This window comes from Homo sapiens, chromosome 13 (genome assembly GCF_000001405.40).
Source record: "Homo sapiens chromosome 13, GRCh38.p14 Primary Assembly".
Taxonomy (NCBI): Eukaryota; Metazoa; Chordata; class Mammalia; order Primates; family Hominidae; genus Homo; species Homo sapiens.
In genome coordinates, this window is record NC_000013.11 from 86315129 (window position 1) to 86333180 (window position 18052).

Sequence of the window (18052 nt, forward strand, 5' to 3'; positions counted from 1 at the left end):
TTAAAACAAAATCTTGGACATCAAATGCTCAGAATGGGTTTTACCAGGCTAAAATCAAGGAGTGGAGAGGGCTGTGTTTCTTTCCGGAGTCTGTTAGAGGGAATCCATTCTTTGCCTCTTCCAGTTTTTAGATAGTGGTCCCCTTACTGCATTAGCAAATGACCACTGTTTCCATTTTCAAATTTTCTTCTCTGATTCTGATTTCATAACTTTCTCTTTTTGAAAAGTACCCTTCTGATTACGTTGGTTATCCACATAATCCAGGATAATAACTACTTTCAAAATTCTGCATAATTCCTTGGCCATGTAAGATAATATTGACAGATTTTGGAGATTAGGATGTGGATATGTTTGGAGAGGCATTATATTGTCTACCACATCTACTATAAAAGATGCATGGTATGTAACCAAAAGTTAAAGTGATGTCAACCATGTTGTTTTGGAATTTGAAGGCCAGAGAAAAAGAAAAATATTGAAAATGTGTTTACAACTAAAAACAGAGTAACAAAATATAAACAGAGAGTAAAACAGATAAAGCAAGGAAGACATATCTTCTTTCTTTCTTTCTTTCTTTCTTTTTTTTTTTTGAGACAGAATTTCACTCTTGTTGCCCAGGCTGGAGTGCAATGACTCCATCTCTGCTCACTGCAACCTCCGCCTCCAAGGTTCAAGCGATTCTCCTGCCTCAGTCTCCCAAGTAGCTGGGATTACAGGCATGTGCCACCATGCCCAGCTGACTTTGTATTTTTAGTAGAGACAGGGTTTCACCATGTTGTTTAGGCTGGTCTCGAACTCCTGACCTCAGGTGATCCACCTGCCTCGGCCTCCCAAAGTCCTGGGATTATAGGCATGAGCCACCATGCCCGGACAACATATCTTTGAGAATTATATTTCAACTGGGATATTAGAAATGGAGATAATATATATGGCATACATGTCCAGATGCAGAAAAACTTCGGATCTTGAATGGTTATTTAAATCATTTAATTTTAAAAATTATTTTATCTCCAGGGCAATTTATGAACTTTGGAGTGGATATTTAAGTTCTATGAAGAGTAGCAACATAACAGAGCTAATATTGTTACACCAGTTAGGGAAAAGATTGTTACATTTGTATATGAAAGCTTTGACTATAGTATGACCAAACTTGCTTGCAGTGAGATGATCAAGAAAAATAAAATTCAAGGAATTTTAGGAGTGGAAGCTGCTTGAAATACTCGTTTCTGGATGTAAGATTGCAAACAAACACACATATTACAAAAGAGCTATCAGATATTATTAAGGATCAGATATGGAGTAACCCTGACTTTATGGTAGCACATATTACTAGGCTTTCTTCAGTAGTACTGTTACACTAGGTACCTAGTCAGACAGGAGGCAGGTGAGCAGGGCGGGAGAACCAACCTCCCCCCAGGAATGTCAGGCCATCACCAGGTGATGATCAGGCAGTGATTAAACTGTCTCTCTAAAATAATAATTTGTCACAGCCAGTTCCAAGGAAAGGCAGAGTCCAATAGAAAGAGAACACCTGAAACTGGTAATCAACACGTTCCCGATAAGGTCTCAGGAGGTGGGCAAGTGGGCTGCAGCATATGCAGGAGTTTAACTGGTATATGACCTTCTAGGAACATTCGACTAGTAAGGGAAAAACGCAAATGAGTATGTGTACAACTTCAGTGTACACACTGCGCATACAGCCCCTGCAAAGTGCTGGCAGGCCACCTGCATGGTGGAAAGCCCACCCCAAGGGAACAACTGGGAGAAGTAATGCAAGAGCCTGGAAGCATGCCAACATCTAAAACCCTAAGTCAAAACTCAAACCATGCACTTGAATCTCTCGTCGACTGCCTGGCACTCTTCCAAATGTACTTCCTTTTGTTCCTAATCTAAAACTTTTTAACAAATTTTCACTCCTGCTCTAAAACTTACCTCAGTTTCTCACTCTATTTTATGCCCCTCAGTCAAATTCTTTCTATTGAGGAGACAAGAATTGAGGTTTCTGCAGACCCATACAGATTTGCCATTGCTAAAACACTTTGGTGCTGCATGCCTTGGATACTTTCCCTAGTGGTAACATTACCTATCAGCTTAGGTTTCAGCACAGCATCAGGTATTTCCAGGCAGATATGACAAAAATAATAATTTTGCAAAGAAAAATAAAATGTGTGCATAAAAGTGGTTGAAGTAAATAGCCTCTGAGGGCTTAGCTGCGTTCAAGGAAGGGAGGGCAGAAGTTTTTAAGGAGACAAAAAAAAGTAGCAAGAGCAGTACTTGAGTTCCAGCGAAACTCATGGACATTTGCATTAGACATAACTCACCAAATAATTGGAAACAATAAGAGGCTGTCCTTAAAGAAGACAAGTCTTCAACTTATATCAAAGGTGGAACATTGTCAAGTTAAACATTCTATTTTGTGATCAAGGAATGGGATTGAAATGAGGGTCCCTAGAGACAAAACAAACCAACAAACAAACAAACCAAACCAAAACAAACAAAGCAAAAAAAATGAAAATAAAAAGTCAGATGGATAAATGTTCAATGTCTGGCATGAAATATGTTGCCATCTATATCCCTCTTACTGGTTCTAAAATACAATTCAATCTAAACAGTTGTTTTTTATTATATCATGTTTTCTGAATTATCTTTCCTTCATTCTCATTATGAATGTTCATTCAAAATCTTTCCCTGGCTCCACTGAAAAATGTATTTTATATAGTGAAATATGTGCATTTAAATATCTAAGATAACAAGACAGTTTTTATCTTGCTTGGATTCCTCTTTTGCCCCTAGTAGCTAATTTAAAATATTGTTATTAAAGCATATTCACAGAGGAATCTGACCTATTAGTAAGAAGTACAGGACATAATTTGGACTACAGGCCCCTCTTGCTATTTTCCAATCTTTTAACCATAAAATTTCTGACATATTCCCTTTCATTAGAAAATTAAAGATAAAAATAAGATGTAGATAAGAAGAAACTGTACAAGAAGTGTCAGCAAGTATCTAGCTTTTTAAAAAATTGACCAGGGGCCAGGAGCAGTGGCTCACGCCTGTAATCCCAGCACTTTGGGAGGCCCAGTGGGGTGGATTGCCTGAGCTCAAGAATTTGAGACCAGCCTGGGCAACACAGTGAAACCCTGTCTTTACTAAAATACAAAAAATTAGCTGGGCATGGTGGTGTGTGCCTGTAGTCCCAGCTACTCAGGAGGCTGAGGCAGGAGAATTGCTTGAACCTCCACCAGGAGGTGGAGGTTGCAGTGAGCAACAGAGTGAGACTTCGTTTCAAAAAAACAAAACAAAACAAAACAAAACAAAAAAACCTGACCAGGTTAGCAGATAAGGGAAAACATTGTAGTCTAAAGGACAGGATTATTGAAAAAGAAAAAGGAGCTATGGAGGTTAGTAAGAATGGGTAGTAAATCCCGGCAAACAGGATTGAGGAGCTTTCATCGATCACTGTGAATAAAATAAATGGCAAATGATTTGTTAGCACAATAAAGACGAAAGGTTGTCAGAGGAAGATTTATTATAGTCACAAAAATGTCACAGAGAAAATAGGACCTAAGTACTGTATGGAAGGATGATTACATTGAATGAAATTTAAGTGTGGAAAATAATGTATGTGTCATGATTATGCCTTGGTATTTCAGGCTTATTTTTTGGAATTTCCACTAATTAGCACATTATGGGGCAGCTGGCATAACCCTGTCTCATTATAGGAGGTGAAAAACTGAAAGGTTTCTACATCATAATATATGACTAGATTCTAAATTTTTCCATATCTTTCAAAATTTTCTGGCTATTACTCTTTCAAATTACCTTACGTCTTGTCTTTTACATAAATTTGCTTAGTTTGTATCAGAATTGGTCTTCTTAGCCATGAGGAGTTATTTTAAAAATTTGTACATTTGAAGATTTTCAGTTAATTTATTTGTATGCTCATAACTCCACCTTATAGATGAGAAAAATAATGTGTGCTATAACCAAATAAGGGGATTGAGAAAGTACGATGATAATGAGCTTGTCCAATGTTACCTAGCTAGTAGAGCAAGAGCAAGTACTGAAATCCCAGATTCTTTGAAATTAATGAGAATGCCTCTGGAATGAAAATAATTTTTTTCTATATGTAATAAAAATAATGTTTTTTTGAAGCATTATATTCTCACTATTGGAAGTAAAACTTTTTTATTTTATATTTTTGTATTTTTAGTAGAGACAGCGTTATGCCATGTTGGCCAGGCTGGTCTCTAACTCCTGGCCTCGTGTGATCTGCCCACCTTGGCCTCCCAAAGTGCTAGAATTACAGGCATGAGCTACTGTGCCCAGCTGCCCCAAAGACTTTAGTTCAAGCTCTAGAACTGTTGGTTAGTAGTTTCATAAGCTTAGGTTAGTCATTTATGTTCTCAAAGGCCCAGGTTTTTTTCCATTTATATGAAGTCAATAGCAATATGTGACTTCTCAATATTTTTAAAATAAGTAATATAATTTCATTGGAGGTTATATATGCATATCTACCAATCAACCATGGTTTCTCTGGAGGCAAATAACTGGATGAATTATATTATGATCATAAGATTTCTTGGTAAGCAAAACATAAGAAAAAAGTTGGTTATAGAATGCTGTCAGTCTAGTACATTTATCTAAAACAAATGAATAGATTTACCATTTTGACCTGACTTTAATTATTGGCCTTTGATAGATAATTTCTAGAAAATCTTCTGTTTGGATGGACATAACTATATATTTTCACACTTTTTCTCATTTCTACAATTACTTTAAAACTTATAGGATCTACTGAAAAATACTTGGCACCTTCATATTAAAAATAATGTTTCTGACCGGGCGTGGTGGCTCACCCCTGTAATCCCAGCACTTTGGGAGGCCGAGGTGGGTGGGATCACTTGAGGTCAGGAGTTTTAGGCCAGCCTGGCCAACATGGTGAAACCCCCGTCTCTACTAAAAACACAAAAATTAGCTGTGCATGGTGGTGCATGCCTGTAGTCCCAGCTACTTGGGAGGCTGAGGCAGAAGAATGGCCTGAACCCAAGCGGAAGTGGTTGCAGTGAGCCGAGATCATGCCACTACACTCCAGTCTGGGTGACAGAGCGAGACTCCATCTCTAAAAATAAATAAATAAATAATTACGTTTCTTTGGATGGTAAACTCCTAACCAAATAAATGGACAGCCATAAAAACTAACAGAACATCCTTGAAAAACAAGTCCAAACATGAAGTGCTAAACTAGGTAGCAGAAAAGGTTACAAAAAATGAGATGCTTCAATATAACAATTTAAACATAAGAGCACATTTAGTAACAGATTTAGAAATCAGCTGGTCTGTAAATTCTCATCACAGACCATGGGGTAATAACTTCTGAAGATAGACCTGAGTAATACACTTTAATCAATGAAGTAAAAGGGAAATCTGAAGAAAGTAGTCTTCAGTTGTGAATAAAACAAGAAAACCTATTCATAGTTGTAGGAGTGAACACCCAACAGTTACGAAATCTGGGTCTTCTGAAAAATATACTTAGGATATGATCTTTGCCTTATCGAGCTGGTATTGCAGCACTCAGCTAATGTTTATAAGTAGCTGGTACTGATGAGTACACTGAACATAGCTAGTATATCCAAAACTGTCAGAAAGAAGGGATTCCAAGCAGAAATAAAAAAGCTGTTCATGAAATTTGAAGGGAGCTCCCACTTGGCAAAATTGTTACTCTGGTAGAGATCTATGAGGAACTTGAGCAAACCAAGAAACCCATAGGTCTGTATATAAAATTATCATCATGAAAATCTTATTCATCCTGAGAAAATTGAATTTGGAAGTTGAATTCTTTCAACTGCATCTATTGGCATCTGTCAAACTCCTGTTGTAATAAGCATGAATATCAAATTAACAATTACAAATGAAAGAAATCTTATAAACTTATAATCAAATAGATTTAGGAAGATGTATAAAATTTAGGAGAAATAATAATAATAATACTAGAGTATGAGAAGATAGGCAAACTTTGTTGTGCTTTCAAAATTGTGTGCCTGCTAATGTAAGATGAATTCTTTACTGGAACACTTTTCTCTGGGTTATAGTCACTGGTTGTTTCTGGGATACATGACACAATGTGAATTTGGCAAACTTTACTTCTCTGGTAAATTTTATTGGTTCTATCTATAATGACAAAGACAATTGAGGCTTTCCAGAAGGAGAAAAACAGAAAAATAATGTATCATATTATTTCAAAAGATTGATCTTCAGAACATGTTATATTTGAACTATTTGGGTAAAAAATTATTATAAACATGCTATGCATACATTTTATTCTAATTATTGGCCTAATTCATTGACTATTGAAAAGTTGAACCATTGGAATCCTGTGGTATGTGAATACTAGAACTTGCCTAAAGATTTTTTAGTAATTGGACTTTCACACTAAAGTTGTTTTTGATAAAATGTATAAAATGGCAATCACATTTATGTGAATTAACAGTGAGTCTTTACAGCAGTGTTCAAAGCTCGTGCCTGTATTGTCCTTTTCTTGTTATTTTGTCATAGCTGAAATATTAGATGCTGAAGGTATGTGTATTCCTGAAGATTCTATGATGGGAAAGTCAATGTTATTTCATATATTTTATTTATATATTTTTAAAGGAATTAAAAAATATTTTGCATTACAAAGCCATGTACAAGGTTATTTGTTTGTTGTGAGGTTTTCGGTTTTATTTTTTGTATTTTTAGGGAGAAAAATGTAGATATTTGAGTTCTTTGTAGATTCTGGATATTAGCCCTTTGTCAGATAAGTAGCTTGCAAAAATTTTTTCTCCCATTCTGTAGGTTGCCTGTTCACTCTGATGGTAGTTTCTTTTGCTGTGCAGAAGCTCTTTAGTTTAATTAGATCCCATTTGTCCATTCTGGCTTTTGTTGCCATTGTTTTTGGTGTTTTAGACATGAAGTCCTTGCCCATGCCTATGTCCCGAATGGTATTGCCTAGGTTTTCTTCCAGGGTTTTTATGGTTTTATGTCTAACATTTAAGTCTTTAATCCATCTTGAATTAATTGTTGTATAAGGTGTAAGGAAGGGATCCAGTTTCAGCTTTCTTCATATGGCTAGGTAGTTTTCCCAGCACCATGTATTAAATAGGGAATCCTTTCCTCATTTCTTGTTTTTGTCAGGTTTGTCAAAGATCAGATAATTGTAGATGTGTGGCATTATTTCTGAGGGCTCTGTTCTGTTCCATTGGTCTATATGTCTGTTTTGGTACCAGTACCATGCTGTTTTGGTTACTGTAGCCTTGTAGTACAGTTTGAAGTCAGGTAGCACGACGCCTCCAGCTTTGTTCTTTTGGCTTAGGATTGGCTCGGCAATGTGGGCTCTTTTTTGGCTCCATATGATCTTTAAAGTAGTTTTTTCCAATTCTGTGAAGAAAGTCATTGGTAGCTTGATGAGGATGGCATTGAATCTATAAATTACCTTGGGCAGTATGGCCATTTCAACGATATTGATTCTTCCTATCCATGAGCACAAGAAAAAATAAACAACCCCATCAACAAGTGGGCAAAGGACATGAATAGACACTTCTCAAAAGAAGACATTTATGCAGCCAAAAGACACATGAAAAAATGCTCATCATCGCTGGCCATCAGAGAAATGCAAATCAAAACCACAATGAGATACCATCTCACACCAGTTAGAATGGCGATCATTAAAAAGTCGGGAAACAACAGGTGCTGGAGAGGATGTGGAGAAATAGGAACACTTTTACACTGTTAGTGGGACTGTAAGCTAGTTCAACCCTTGTGGAAGTCACTATAGCGACTCCTCAGGGATCTAGAACTAGAAATACCATTTGACCCAGCCATCCCATTACTGTGTATGTACCCAAAGGATTATAAATCATGTTGCTATAAAGACACATGCACACGTATGTTTATTGCTGCACTATTCACAACAGCAAAGACTTGGAACCAACCCAAATATCCAACAATGATAGACTGGATTAAGAAAATGTGGCACATATACACCATGGAATACTATGCAGCCATAAAAAATGATGAGTTCATGTCCTTTGCAGGGACATGGATGAAGCTGGAAACCATCATTCTCAGCAAACTATCGCAAGGACAAAAAAAACAAACACCGCATGTTCTCACTCACAGGTGGGAATTGAACAATGAGAACACTTGGACACAGGAAGGGGAACATCACACCCCGGGGCCTGTTGTGGGGTCGGGGAAGGTGGGGGGATAGCATTAGGAGATATACCTAATGTAAATGACAATGTAATGGATGCAGCACGCCAACATGGCACATGTATGTATACATATGTAACTAACCTGCACGTTATGCACATGTACCCTAAAACTTAAAGTATAATAAGAAAAAAAAGAAAAGAAAAATGTGGAAATTTGATTTTGGAGTAACACCATTACTTGAGCATGTTTCTGTTATTTCACTTCATAGCAATAACAATACAATATTTAAAAAACATTTGGCATATACTTTATTTGGGAGACTTTGAGAAATTAGTAAGTTTTCCTGAGTTAGAATATTTTTAAAACAATCTGTTAGGTTTAAGCTAAATACATAATTAGACTATCGATCAATTGGAAGCTTTATTATTTCAGGAAGGAAATTATTTTGTCCTGTTACTTATATATTTGGCCCCAAAGTTTTTCCACATCTTTGTCATAGCAGCTCTCCATTTACACTAACATTTTATCTGACATTTCTAGATTTGTAGTGTAGTGGGAGAGATGGTTTCAGTAAATCTTGTTTTTCATATTTCTAAAAATAGAGGTCTTCAAATATTAATATAGTAAATTATTTCATTCCTTAAATTACAAGTGTTTTCCATTGTTATTAAGAACTCAGAATGATAAGTCAATTAACAGTTAATCATGTTCAAGCCTCTCCAGTAATAATAAAATAAAATATATACACTTGCCTTACCTTATATGTGAAGCCTCTCCAATTTTCTCATTTGCATTTTGTTCATTCAACAAATATTTATTGTTTCCCTCCTATGTTGCAGACAATGTGCTATCTCTAAGGGTAACCATTAGAAATATAGTATTTACCATCCTAATGTTGACTAGATGTCAGAGAAGACATTAATCCAGTCATAATGCACATGGAATATAACATTGCACTTCTGGTAGGTGCTGAAAGAAGAAACATGATGACCTAAGAGAAAAATATAACAATTAACCTTAAAGGATTTGGATGACTGCATTTGAATTCTTAAAGTTAGCAAAACAATTTGCAACCACGCACAGCATTCTTTGCAGAAATGGATCACGAGGAGGTCAGGCATTAACTTAAAACTTGGATCAAGTCCTTTTCTGTTAATAATCAAAACACTTCAAGTTTCTCACTAACAAATATAACATATAATATAGTGGGAGGTTACAATCATTCTGAAACCCGAAGAATGTTATCTGATTAAATATCAAATAGTAACTAATTTAGACAAATAATATTTTTAACTTTTATTTTAAGTTCAGGGTACATGTGCAGGATGTGTCAGTTTTTTGCACAGATAAATGTGTGTCATGGGGGTTTGTTGTACAGGTTATGTTAATATCCAGGTATTAAGCCTAGTATCCATTAATTATTTTTCCTGATCCTCTCCCTTCTTCTACCCTCTGCCCTCTGGTAGGCTTGTGTGTGTTGTTCCCCTCCATATGTCCATGTGTTCTCATCATTTAGATCCCATTTATAAATAAGAACATGCTGTATTTGTTTCTCTCTCCCTGTATTAGTTTGTTAAGGATAATGGCCTCCAGCTCCATCCATGTCCCTGCAAAGGACAGGATCTCATTATTTTTTATGGCTGCATAGTATTCTGTGGTGTATATGTACCACATTTTCTTGATCCAGTCTATCGTTGTTGGGCATTTAGGTTGATTCCATGTCTTTGGTTTTGTGACTCATGCTGCAATGAACATAGGGGTGCATGTGTCTTTATAATAGAATGATTTATATTTCTTGGAAATATACCCAGCAATAGGATTGCTGGATCAAATAGTATTTCTGTCTTCAGGTCTTTGAGGAATCACCACACTGTCTTCCACAATGGTTGAACTAATTTACATTTCCACCAACTGTGTATAAACGTTCTTTTTTCTCCGCAACTTTGCCAGCATCTGTTACTTTTTGGACATTTAATAATAACCATTCTGCCTGGTGTGAGATGGTACCTCATCGTGGCTTTAATTTGTACTTCTCTAATGATCAGTTATGTTCAGTTTTTTTCATATGCTCGTTGGCTGCATGTAAGTCTTCTTCTGAGAAGTGTCTGCTCATGTCTTTTGTGCACTTTTTAATGGAGTTGTTTGTTATTTTCTTAAATTCATTTAAGTTTCTTATAGATGCTGGATATTAGACCTTTCTCAGATGCATAGATTGCAATAATTTTCTCCCATTCTGTAGGTTGTCTGTTAACTCTGTTGATAGTTTCTTTAGCTATGTGGAAACTTTTTAGTTTAATTAGATTTAATCTGTCAAAGTCAATGCACAGAAATTGCTAGGTTTCCTGTACACCAATGATACTCAAGCTGAGAGCAAAATCATGAATGAATTCCCACTCATGATTGCCATGAAAAGAATAACATACCTAGGAATAGAGCTAATAGGGAAAGTGAAGGATCTCTACAAGGAGAACTAAAAACCCCTGATCAAACAAATCAGAGATGACAGAAACAAATGGACAAACATTCCATGCTTATGAATAGGAAGAATCAATATCATTAAAATGGCCATATGGCCCAAAGCAATTTATAGATTCAATGCTATTTTAATTAAACTACCATTGACATTCTTCAAAGAACTAGAAAAAACTATTTTAAAATTCATATGAAACCAAAAAAAGAGCCCAAATAGCCAAGGCAATCCTAGGCAAAAAAAAAAAAAAAAAAAAAAAAAAAAACAAAGCTGGAGGCATCATGCTACCTGGCTTTAAACTATACTACAGGGCTACAGTAACTGAAACAGCATGGTACTGGCACAAGAACAGACACGGAGACCAGTGGAACAGAATAGACAACCCAGAAATAAGACTGCACACCTCCAATTATCTGATCTTCAACAAACCTGACAAAAACAAGCAATGAGGAAAAGATTTCCTATTTAATAAATGTTGCTGGGATAGCTGGAGACCCTTATGCAGAAAATTAAAACAACCCCTTTCTTACACTATATATAAAAATCAACTTAAGATAGATTAAGTACTAAGTGTAAAACCCCAAACTGTGAAAACCACAGAAGAAAACCTAGGCAAGGTTATTCATAACATAAGCACAGGCAAAGATTTCATGATGAAGATGTTGAAAGCAATTAATTGAATCATTAATTAAAAATTTTTTATTCAATTTGTTTTTGATATCAGTTTGGTTATAAATTGGGGAAAAATATATATACGTGTATGTATATATATGCATATATATTCTAAAAAATACAAAAAAATCACAATGTTTGCAGTAATAGTAATTGCTATTTACAATAATATTCACAATCATTCCTATTATCTTTATAATTAAAAGTAACATAGTATTATCAACAAAGGACAAAAATCATATTTATATTGTGCATGTTTTTATATCACTTTCTGTTTTGATAGAATTGTTTCTGCTGTAGGATCATTGAACAAAACTTTTTACATTTGTTAAAGAGAAATACTGACATAAAACCGAAAGAATAGGCATTATTTTTGTATTAAAGATTTGTTATCCTGACATCCCATTCTGTGGAGCTGATTGTTGTAACATTCAAAGGTCTTAACTACTGCCTGAGTTTTTCTTTTTCTCTCTCTCTCTCGATTTTAATGTGCTTGTTCTTGATCTAAAAGAGTGAATCAACTGTTTTAACTGATCAAAGCACATATTCCTTTTAGAGCAGCTAGAACAGCACATGTCAATTATGTGTGGGCAATGGAGACAGGCTTTCTATTTCATCTGAAAGGTCTCTATGTTAATTGCAGCAGAATTTGCAAATTGCTAAAAAACCATTGTGATGAGATGGAAAGTTTTTTTGGAATTTATCTATCTCAAAAATTCATCAGAATTCTCATAATCATAGGAAAGCTCAAGTTTCCACTGTCTTTAGCCAGTAAGTACCTTCTATTTGAGAAAAAGTTTTTTTATAGAGCACTTACTGTATATGGAGTCATGCTGGTGCCTCCTATCATATAGCTTACATTGTAGGTCCTTCTGCAATTTTAGCCAAGGGCTTTGCCACAGAGCCAAGTCAAACCCTGGTCCCAGAGCCATTTATTGTAATTATCACAAGGATGTAAAAGTGAATATGGAATTATAGTATTTATGCATATTAAATGATTTTGCCTAGGTAAATACTTACTGAAATTGATTTTCCTGGAAACATGCAATTATTACTGGTATAGTTATTGCATTGAAAGCTTTTCTGAAGTAGAAGTACCTTACTAGATATGAGAAAATTCTTACTATGATAGGTCAATAGGTAGGAAAAGGAGTCTAAAAGACTTCTGTCTCAACCATAATGCCCTATTCAAATATACCAATTGACATAAGGTTAAATACAACAGGATTGTCTTTCCACAAACCTGAAGTAATGTTTCACATCCAGCACAGGACTTTAACCTTAGTATTAGCTGTCTACTTGTTATTGGTGACACTGAACTTTTTTCAGGTGCAAGTTGTTTAATCTAAAACAAAATTCAAATTTAAGTGTAATAATTAAGTAATGTTAAACATAATCAATTTAGAGCAGAAGACTGTTTTGTAAATTTGAAAAAGTCTTCATTATTATATACTTTCTCACATTCTACTTAACAGCATTTGGAGGATCTCATCAAAATGAAAAGGAATAAAGCAGAATGAGGCTAAAACTCAGGGCTTTATGAACTCTGAAAATCTAATGTATACACATTTTTAAGGGAATATTCAAAATTTGTATGAGGCTAGCTTACTCTCGGCAAATCAGAGGTCTCATAGAGTATTTGAGAAAGAAAACTGAAATCAGGACAATAGCAGTTGTGTAGGAACTTCTACATTGAGAGAGAACATGCTAACTAATAAGAAACGGTAAGAAGAAAATAGAAACACATGTGCAAGTAATATATATATATATATATACACACACACACAAAACTATGTATATATTCTATACATGCATAAATGTATATATGTATTTGTATAAATATGCATATAAATGCATATTTAACTTGGGTGTGTATTATTTCATGTAATAAAAACATTTGTTTTACTCTGGAGTTTTCAGTGTCTATAAGACTTTCTTAAATAGAAAGTAATTACAAAATTGGCTGGGCATGGTGGCTTACACCTGTAATCCCAGTACCTTGGGAGGCTGAGGCAGGCGGATCATGAAATCAAGAGACAGAGACCATCCTGGCCAACATGGTGAAACCCTGTCTCTACTAAAAATACAAAAAAATTAGCTGGGCATGGTGTTGCCTGCCTGTAGTCCCAGCTACTTGGGAGGGTGAGGCAGGAGAATCACTTGAACCTGGGAGATGGAGGTTGCAGTGAGCAGAGATCACACCACTGCACTACAGCCTGGTGACAGAGTGAGACTCCGTGTCAAAAAAAAAAAATAATTACAAAATTATCATTTGGTTGTTTATTATTTTATTTCTAATCTCTTTTTCATTCATTCTTCTTACATTATTGCAAAGGTTTTAAGTTAAAACTTGGTTTGCCTGTTGATATAATTTGTTATATACTTTATTGAGTTTTAACATAGACTTCAAAAATATTTACAAATATTGAAGATCATCTTTAAATTCACCCTTGAATAGATGGACCTACTCAGACACCGGCTATTTTTTTTTAACCATGTTTACATTTATATGTTTGCCTCATGACCAGACAAAATTGATTAGTACTTTGAGTCATTCTTTGGTTCAGGAAACTTTATGTAGTATCACATCTTTTCTTAGAGTCTAAGGTCTTGGGATTCTGCTGTAATGTAGATGGTCAGGAGAACCCAGTAGGCTCCTCACAATATCAAGAAAAATGTCTTGATCTAGAGAACAGTCACTCTGAACAAAGCAACTACAAATATCTAATGACAAAGGTTGTTTTTTGTGTCTGAGAATGGTTTACATACTGAATTATAAGAGCTTAGCTCATAGGGGCTTAACTCATAAGGGGACAACTCACATCTCCTTGTTGATAGTATTATTTTGCAATAGCAGGAAACATTGCTGTTAGTAAAAGGCATTGCTAATGATTCGGCTTGATAGATTGCAAGAGACTAATCTCTTGCTGCTTTCCATCACAAATTTGAATGTGCACTGGAAATTTATCGGTTTGTTTATTTCTGTTTGAGACCATTGCGGAATCAGTAGAGTAAAATAATTTTTTTAAGCCACTTAAAATTTGTCGTGATGTATTTTGGTTGACTCGTTTTTAGAACCCGTCTTCTCTTTCTATTACTCCAGCACTCTGGTAAAGATGAAAACAGTGTAAGTGATAACAATTTGGAAGACCTATAATATATATTTATAGTTTTCTTAATGAAATAATGAGACTATGATTTGATACAAGGAGGGATATGCACATTTTTAAAAAAATTATGAGCTACTCTTTCAAATGGGAGGGAAATGTTACAGACTTGGTGTCAAATGATGGTAAAGGCCGTAACCACAAAATATCATAACCAAGGCTATCAACTGGCCAAAAGGACTCAAAAAACTGTTGATAAAACCCTGTCTCTACAAAAGTAAACATTAAAAATATTAGCTTGGCATGGTGGCATGCACCAGTACAGTCCCAGCTACTACGAGCCTGAAATGGGAGGATCTCTTGAACCCAGCGATTTGAGCTATAATCAATCATGCTGCTGCACTCCAGCCTGCACCACAGAGGAAAGAAATGTCAGAGATCTCTTCTTTCTTCTTATTCACCATAGATTTACTTGACACAGTAACTATCAAAAGCTGAATTTTGTGACCTGCACTGGACAAAAAGGAATCATTTGGATTTGGCGATATAAGCACAACTAAAGATAAATTTGATTCCTGTGGGCTTTCCTACAAGCTCATTGATGGATTTTCAGAAAGGTCCTTTTTTAGGATTTTGAAATGCTAAATTGTCCAGGATCCTTCTTGCTACAATTAATGACATTTTGAAAGGATCTGAACATTTGTTGTACTTTCATTCATTTGATTTGTTTTATTTCTTTTTTGAATAATTTCTCTCTTGTCCTTAGGTATACCTTGCCATTCTCTCTCTTCTATTTCTGTAGGTTATTTTGCACAGCATTCAGTTATGTTTTTAGGCTTTTGGGGTCCTTACTTCCCAGGTAAGGAAACAGTTTTAAAATATTTTGAAAGTTGAGGATAAACAGCTGGGTGTGGTGGCTCATGCCTGTAATACCCGCAATTTGGGAGGCCGAGGTGGGTGAATCACGAGGCCAGGAGTTCAAGACCCACCTAGCCAAGATGGTGAAACCCCATCTCTACAAAAAACAGAAAAAAATTAGTTGGGCGTGATGGTGGGTGCCTGTGATCCCAGCTTCTTGGGAGGCTGAGACAGAGAATTGCTTGAACCCGGGAGGCAAAGGTTGTAGTGAGCCAACATCGTGCCACTGCACTCCAGCCTGGTGACAGAGCAAGACTCCGTCTCAAAAAAATTGAAACCAGTTTAGAACAAAGCTTTGCAATTTATTAATATTTGCCTTGCTCAATAACCCCTTAGAATTATTTTGTGGTAAATAGTGCAATAATTAACCTTTGATTTTCAATGCTATAATGAAGACAGGAAAAATCGTATTCAGGAGATGGCACAAAACATTCCTTTGCGAAGCTATGGACATCGTGACACACTGAAAAGCTGAAGTTTTCTTTCAAAGTTAAGCTCACTGACATTATTTCTTTTTTTAAAACCTAAACATTATTTAATCATTAAGTTTAAAAGGCCTTTAAATAGTATTTAGTCCTATCTAAATATTGAGTTAACTAAATATCTTAAAACATTGAGAAATACATCCATTAACTCAATTCCATTTTAAGTACTTTAGTTTCTTAACTTAATAAAGCCTCCTCGATAGTAAACATTGCTTATAAATCCAACCAAATAGACTTACAAGCGCAGGAAGCATTAAGTCCCTTCATATATTTCAATATTGAACATAAATGTTACAAGATTTCAACTTAGAATAAGTCTACATCAATTACTATATTACAAATTTCAAATTACTCAAATGCTTTCACTCCAAATAGAACAATTTAATGTACATGTTTTAAGTACATGAATTATAAAATATACACAGGTACATTTTTCAACCAAAGTTATTCATACTTTTATTACTTTAAAAAACTTTCATATCTTTAAATTTTTCAAATATTCTGTTAATGAATATTTTACTACCAAATTTTTAAATAAATTGAATTGTTTCTCAAATTCCTTTTCAGATTATCAGTTGTTTGTGTATAGACATAAAATTTATTTTGGTACATCGATTTTTTTAACCTGAAAATTTGTTTAACATTTTTACTTCTAATAGTTTTTTTTTTTTTTTTTTTTTGGTTTTTTTTTTTTTGAGATGAAGTTTTTCTCTTGTTGCCTAGGCTGTAGTGCAATGGCGAGATCTCGGCTCACTGCAACCTGCACCTTGCTGCTTCTAAGGATTCTCCTGTCTCAGCCTCCTGTAGCTGGGACTACAGGTGCCCACCACCATGCCCAGCTAATTTTTGTTCCATTTGCTAGATTATGTTTATTAGTATTTTATTAAGATTTTATATCTATATTCATAAGGAACATTGGTCATTAGTTCTTTTTCTTTCTTTCTTTTTATTATTTCCTTTTAGTATGAATTTTGTATCAGGGTAATAGGGGCCTCATAAAACATGTTGAGTGAGAAGTGTTCCCCACTTTTCTATTATTTGGAAGCGTTTACCATGAAAATTTTCTTTAAATATTTGGTAGAATTCACCAGTGACTATCTGGGCCTATTTTTTTTTTTCCTTTCTAGGATTTTTTTTAATCACTAGTTAATCCCTTTACTTATTATAAATCTGCTTATAATTTTGATTTTACTTGAGTCAGTTTTTTTTCTTTGTGTGGTTTGTTTGTGTATTTCTTGGGATTTTTTCATTTCATCTAGGATGTCTGATTTTTTGGATATCTGGTTGTCCATGGTATTCTCTTTTTTTTAAATTTATTTTTTATTTTTTTTTGAGACAGAGTTTTGCTTTTGTTGCCCAGGCTGGAGTGCACTGGCATGATCTTAGCTCACTGCAACCTCCACCTCCCAGTTCAAGTTATTCTCCCACCTCAGCCTCCCAAGTAGCTGGGATTACAAGTGCCCACCACCACGTCCAGCTAATTTTTGTGTTTTTTTTTTTTTTTAATAGAGACAGGGTTTCACCACATTGGCCAGGCTGGTCTCGAACTCCTGAACTCAGGTGACCCACCAGCCTCAGCCTCTCAAAGTGCTGGGATTACAGGCATGAGAATTCTTTCTATTTGTAAGCTAAGAAGTAATGTTCCCGCTTTCATTACTGATTCTGGTTATTTGAGTCTCTGTTCTTTTTTCTTTGTCAATCAAAATAAAATATTGACATTCTGTTCTGGCTTGATTAATTTTCATTATTGTTTATCTATGATGTTTTTCATTTACTTCTATTTTAATTTATATTAATTTTTTCCATCTGCTTGCGTTGGCTTATGGAAAGTTTTCTCTTTTTTTTTTTTCCAGTTTCCTAAGGTAGAAGGCTTGGTCACTGACTTAAGACCTTTATTTTTTTTGTTTAAATATGGCATTTACAGCTATAAATTTCCCTCTGAGCCCTGATTTTGCTACATCTCATAAGTTTTTGTATGTGATGTTTTTTGTGTTTATTTATCATCAGTTAGTTTTTAATCTCCCTCATGATTCATTAATAAATTTGTGTATAAGTTGAATCTGTGATTAATATTGTTGCAGTTATAGAAAAGCCCATTTACAGTTTGATGCATACAATCACAGTATTAACACCAGTTCTCAATCATTTTATTTCATGTTTTCTCTCATTCTCTAGCGACATTATTCTCAGAGAACAAAATAAAAAAAATT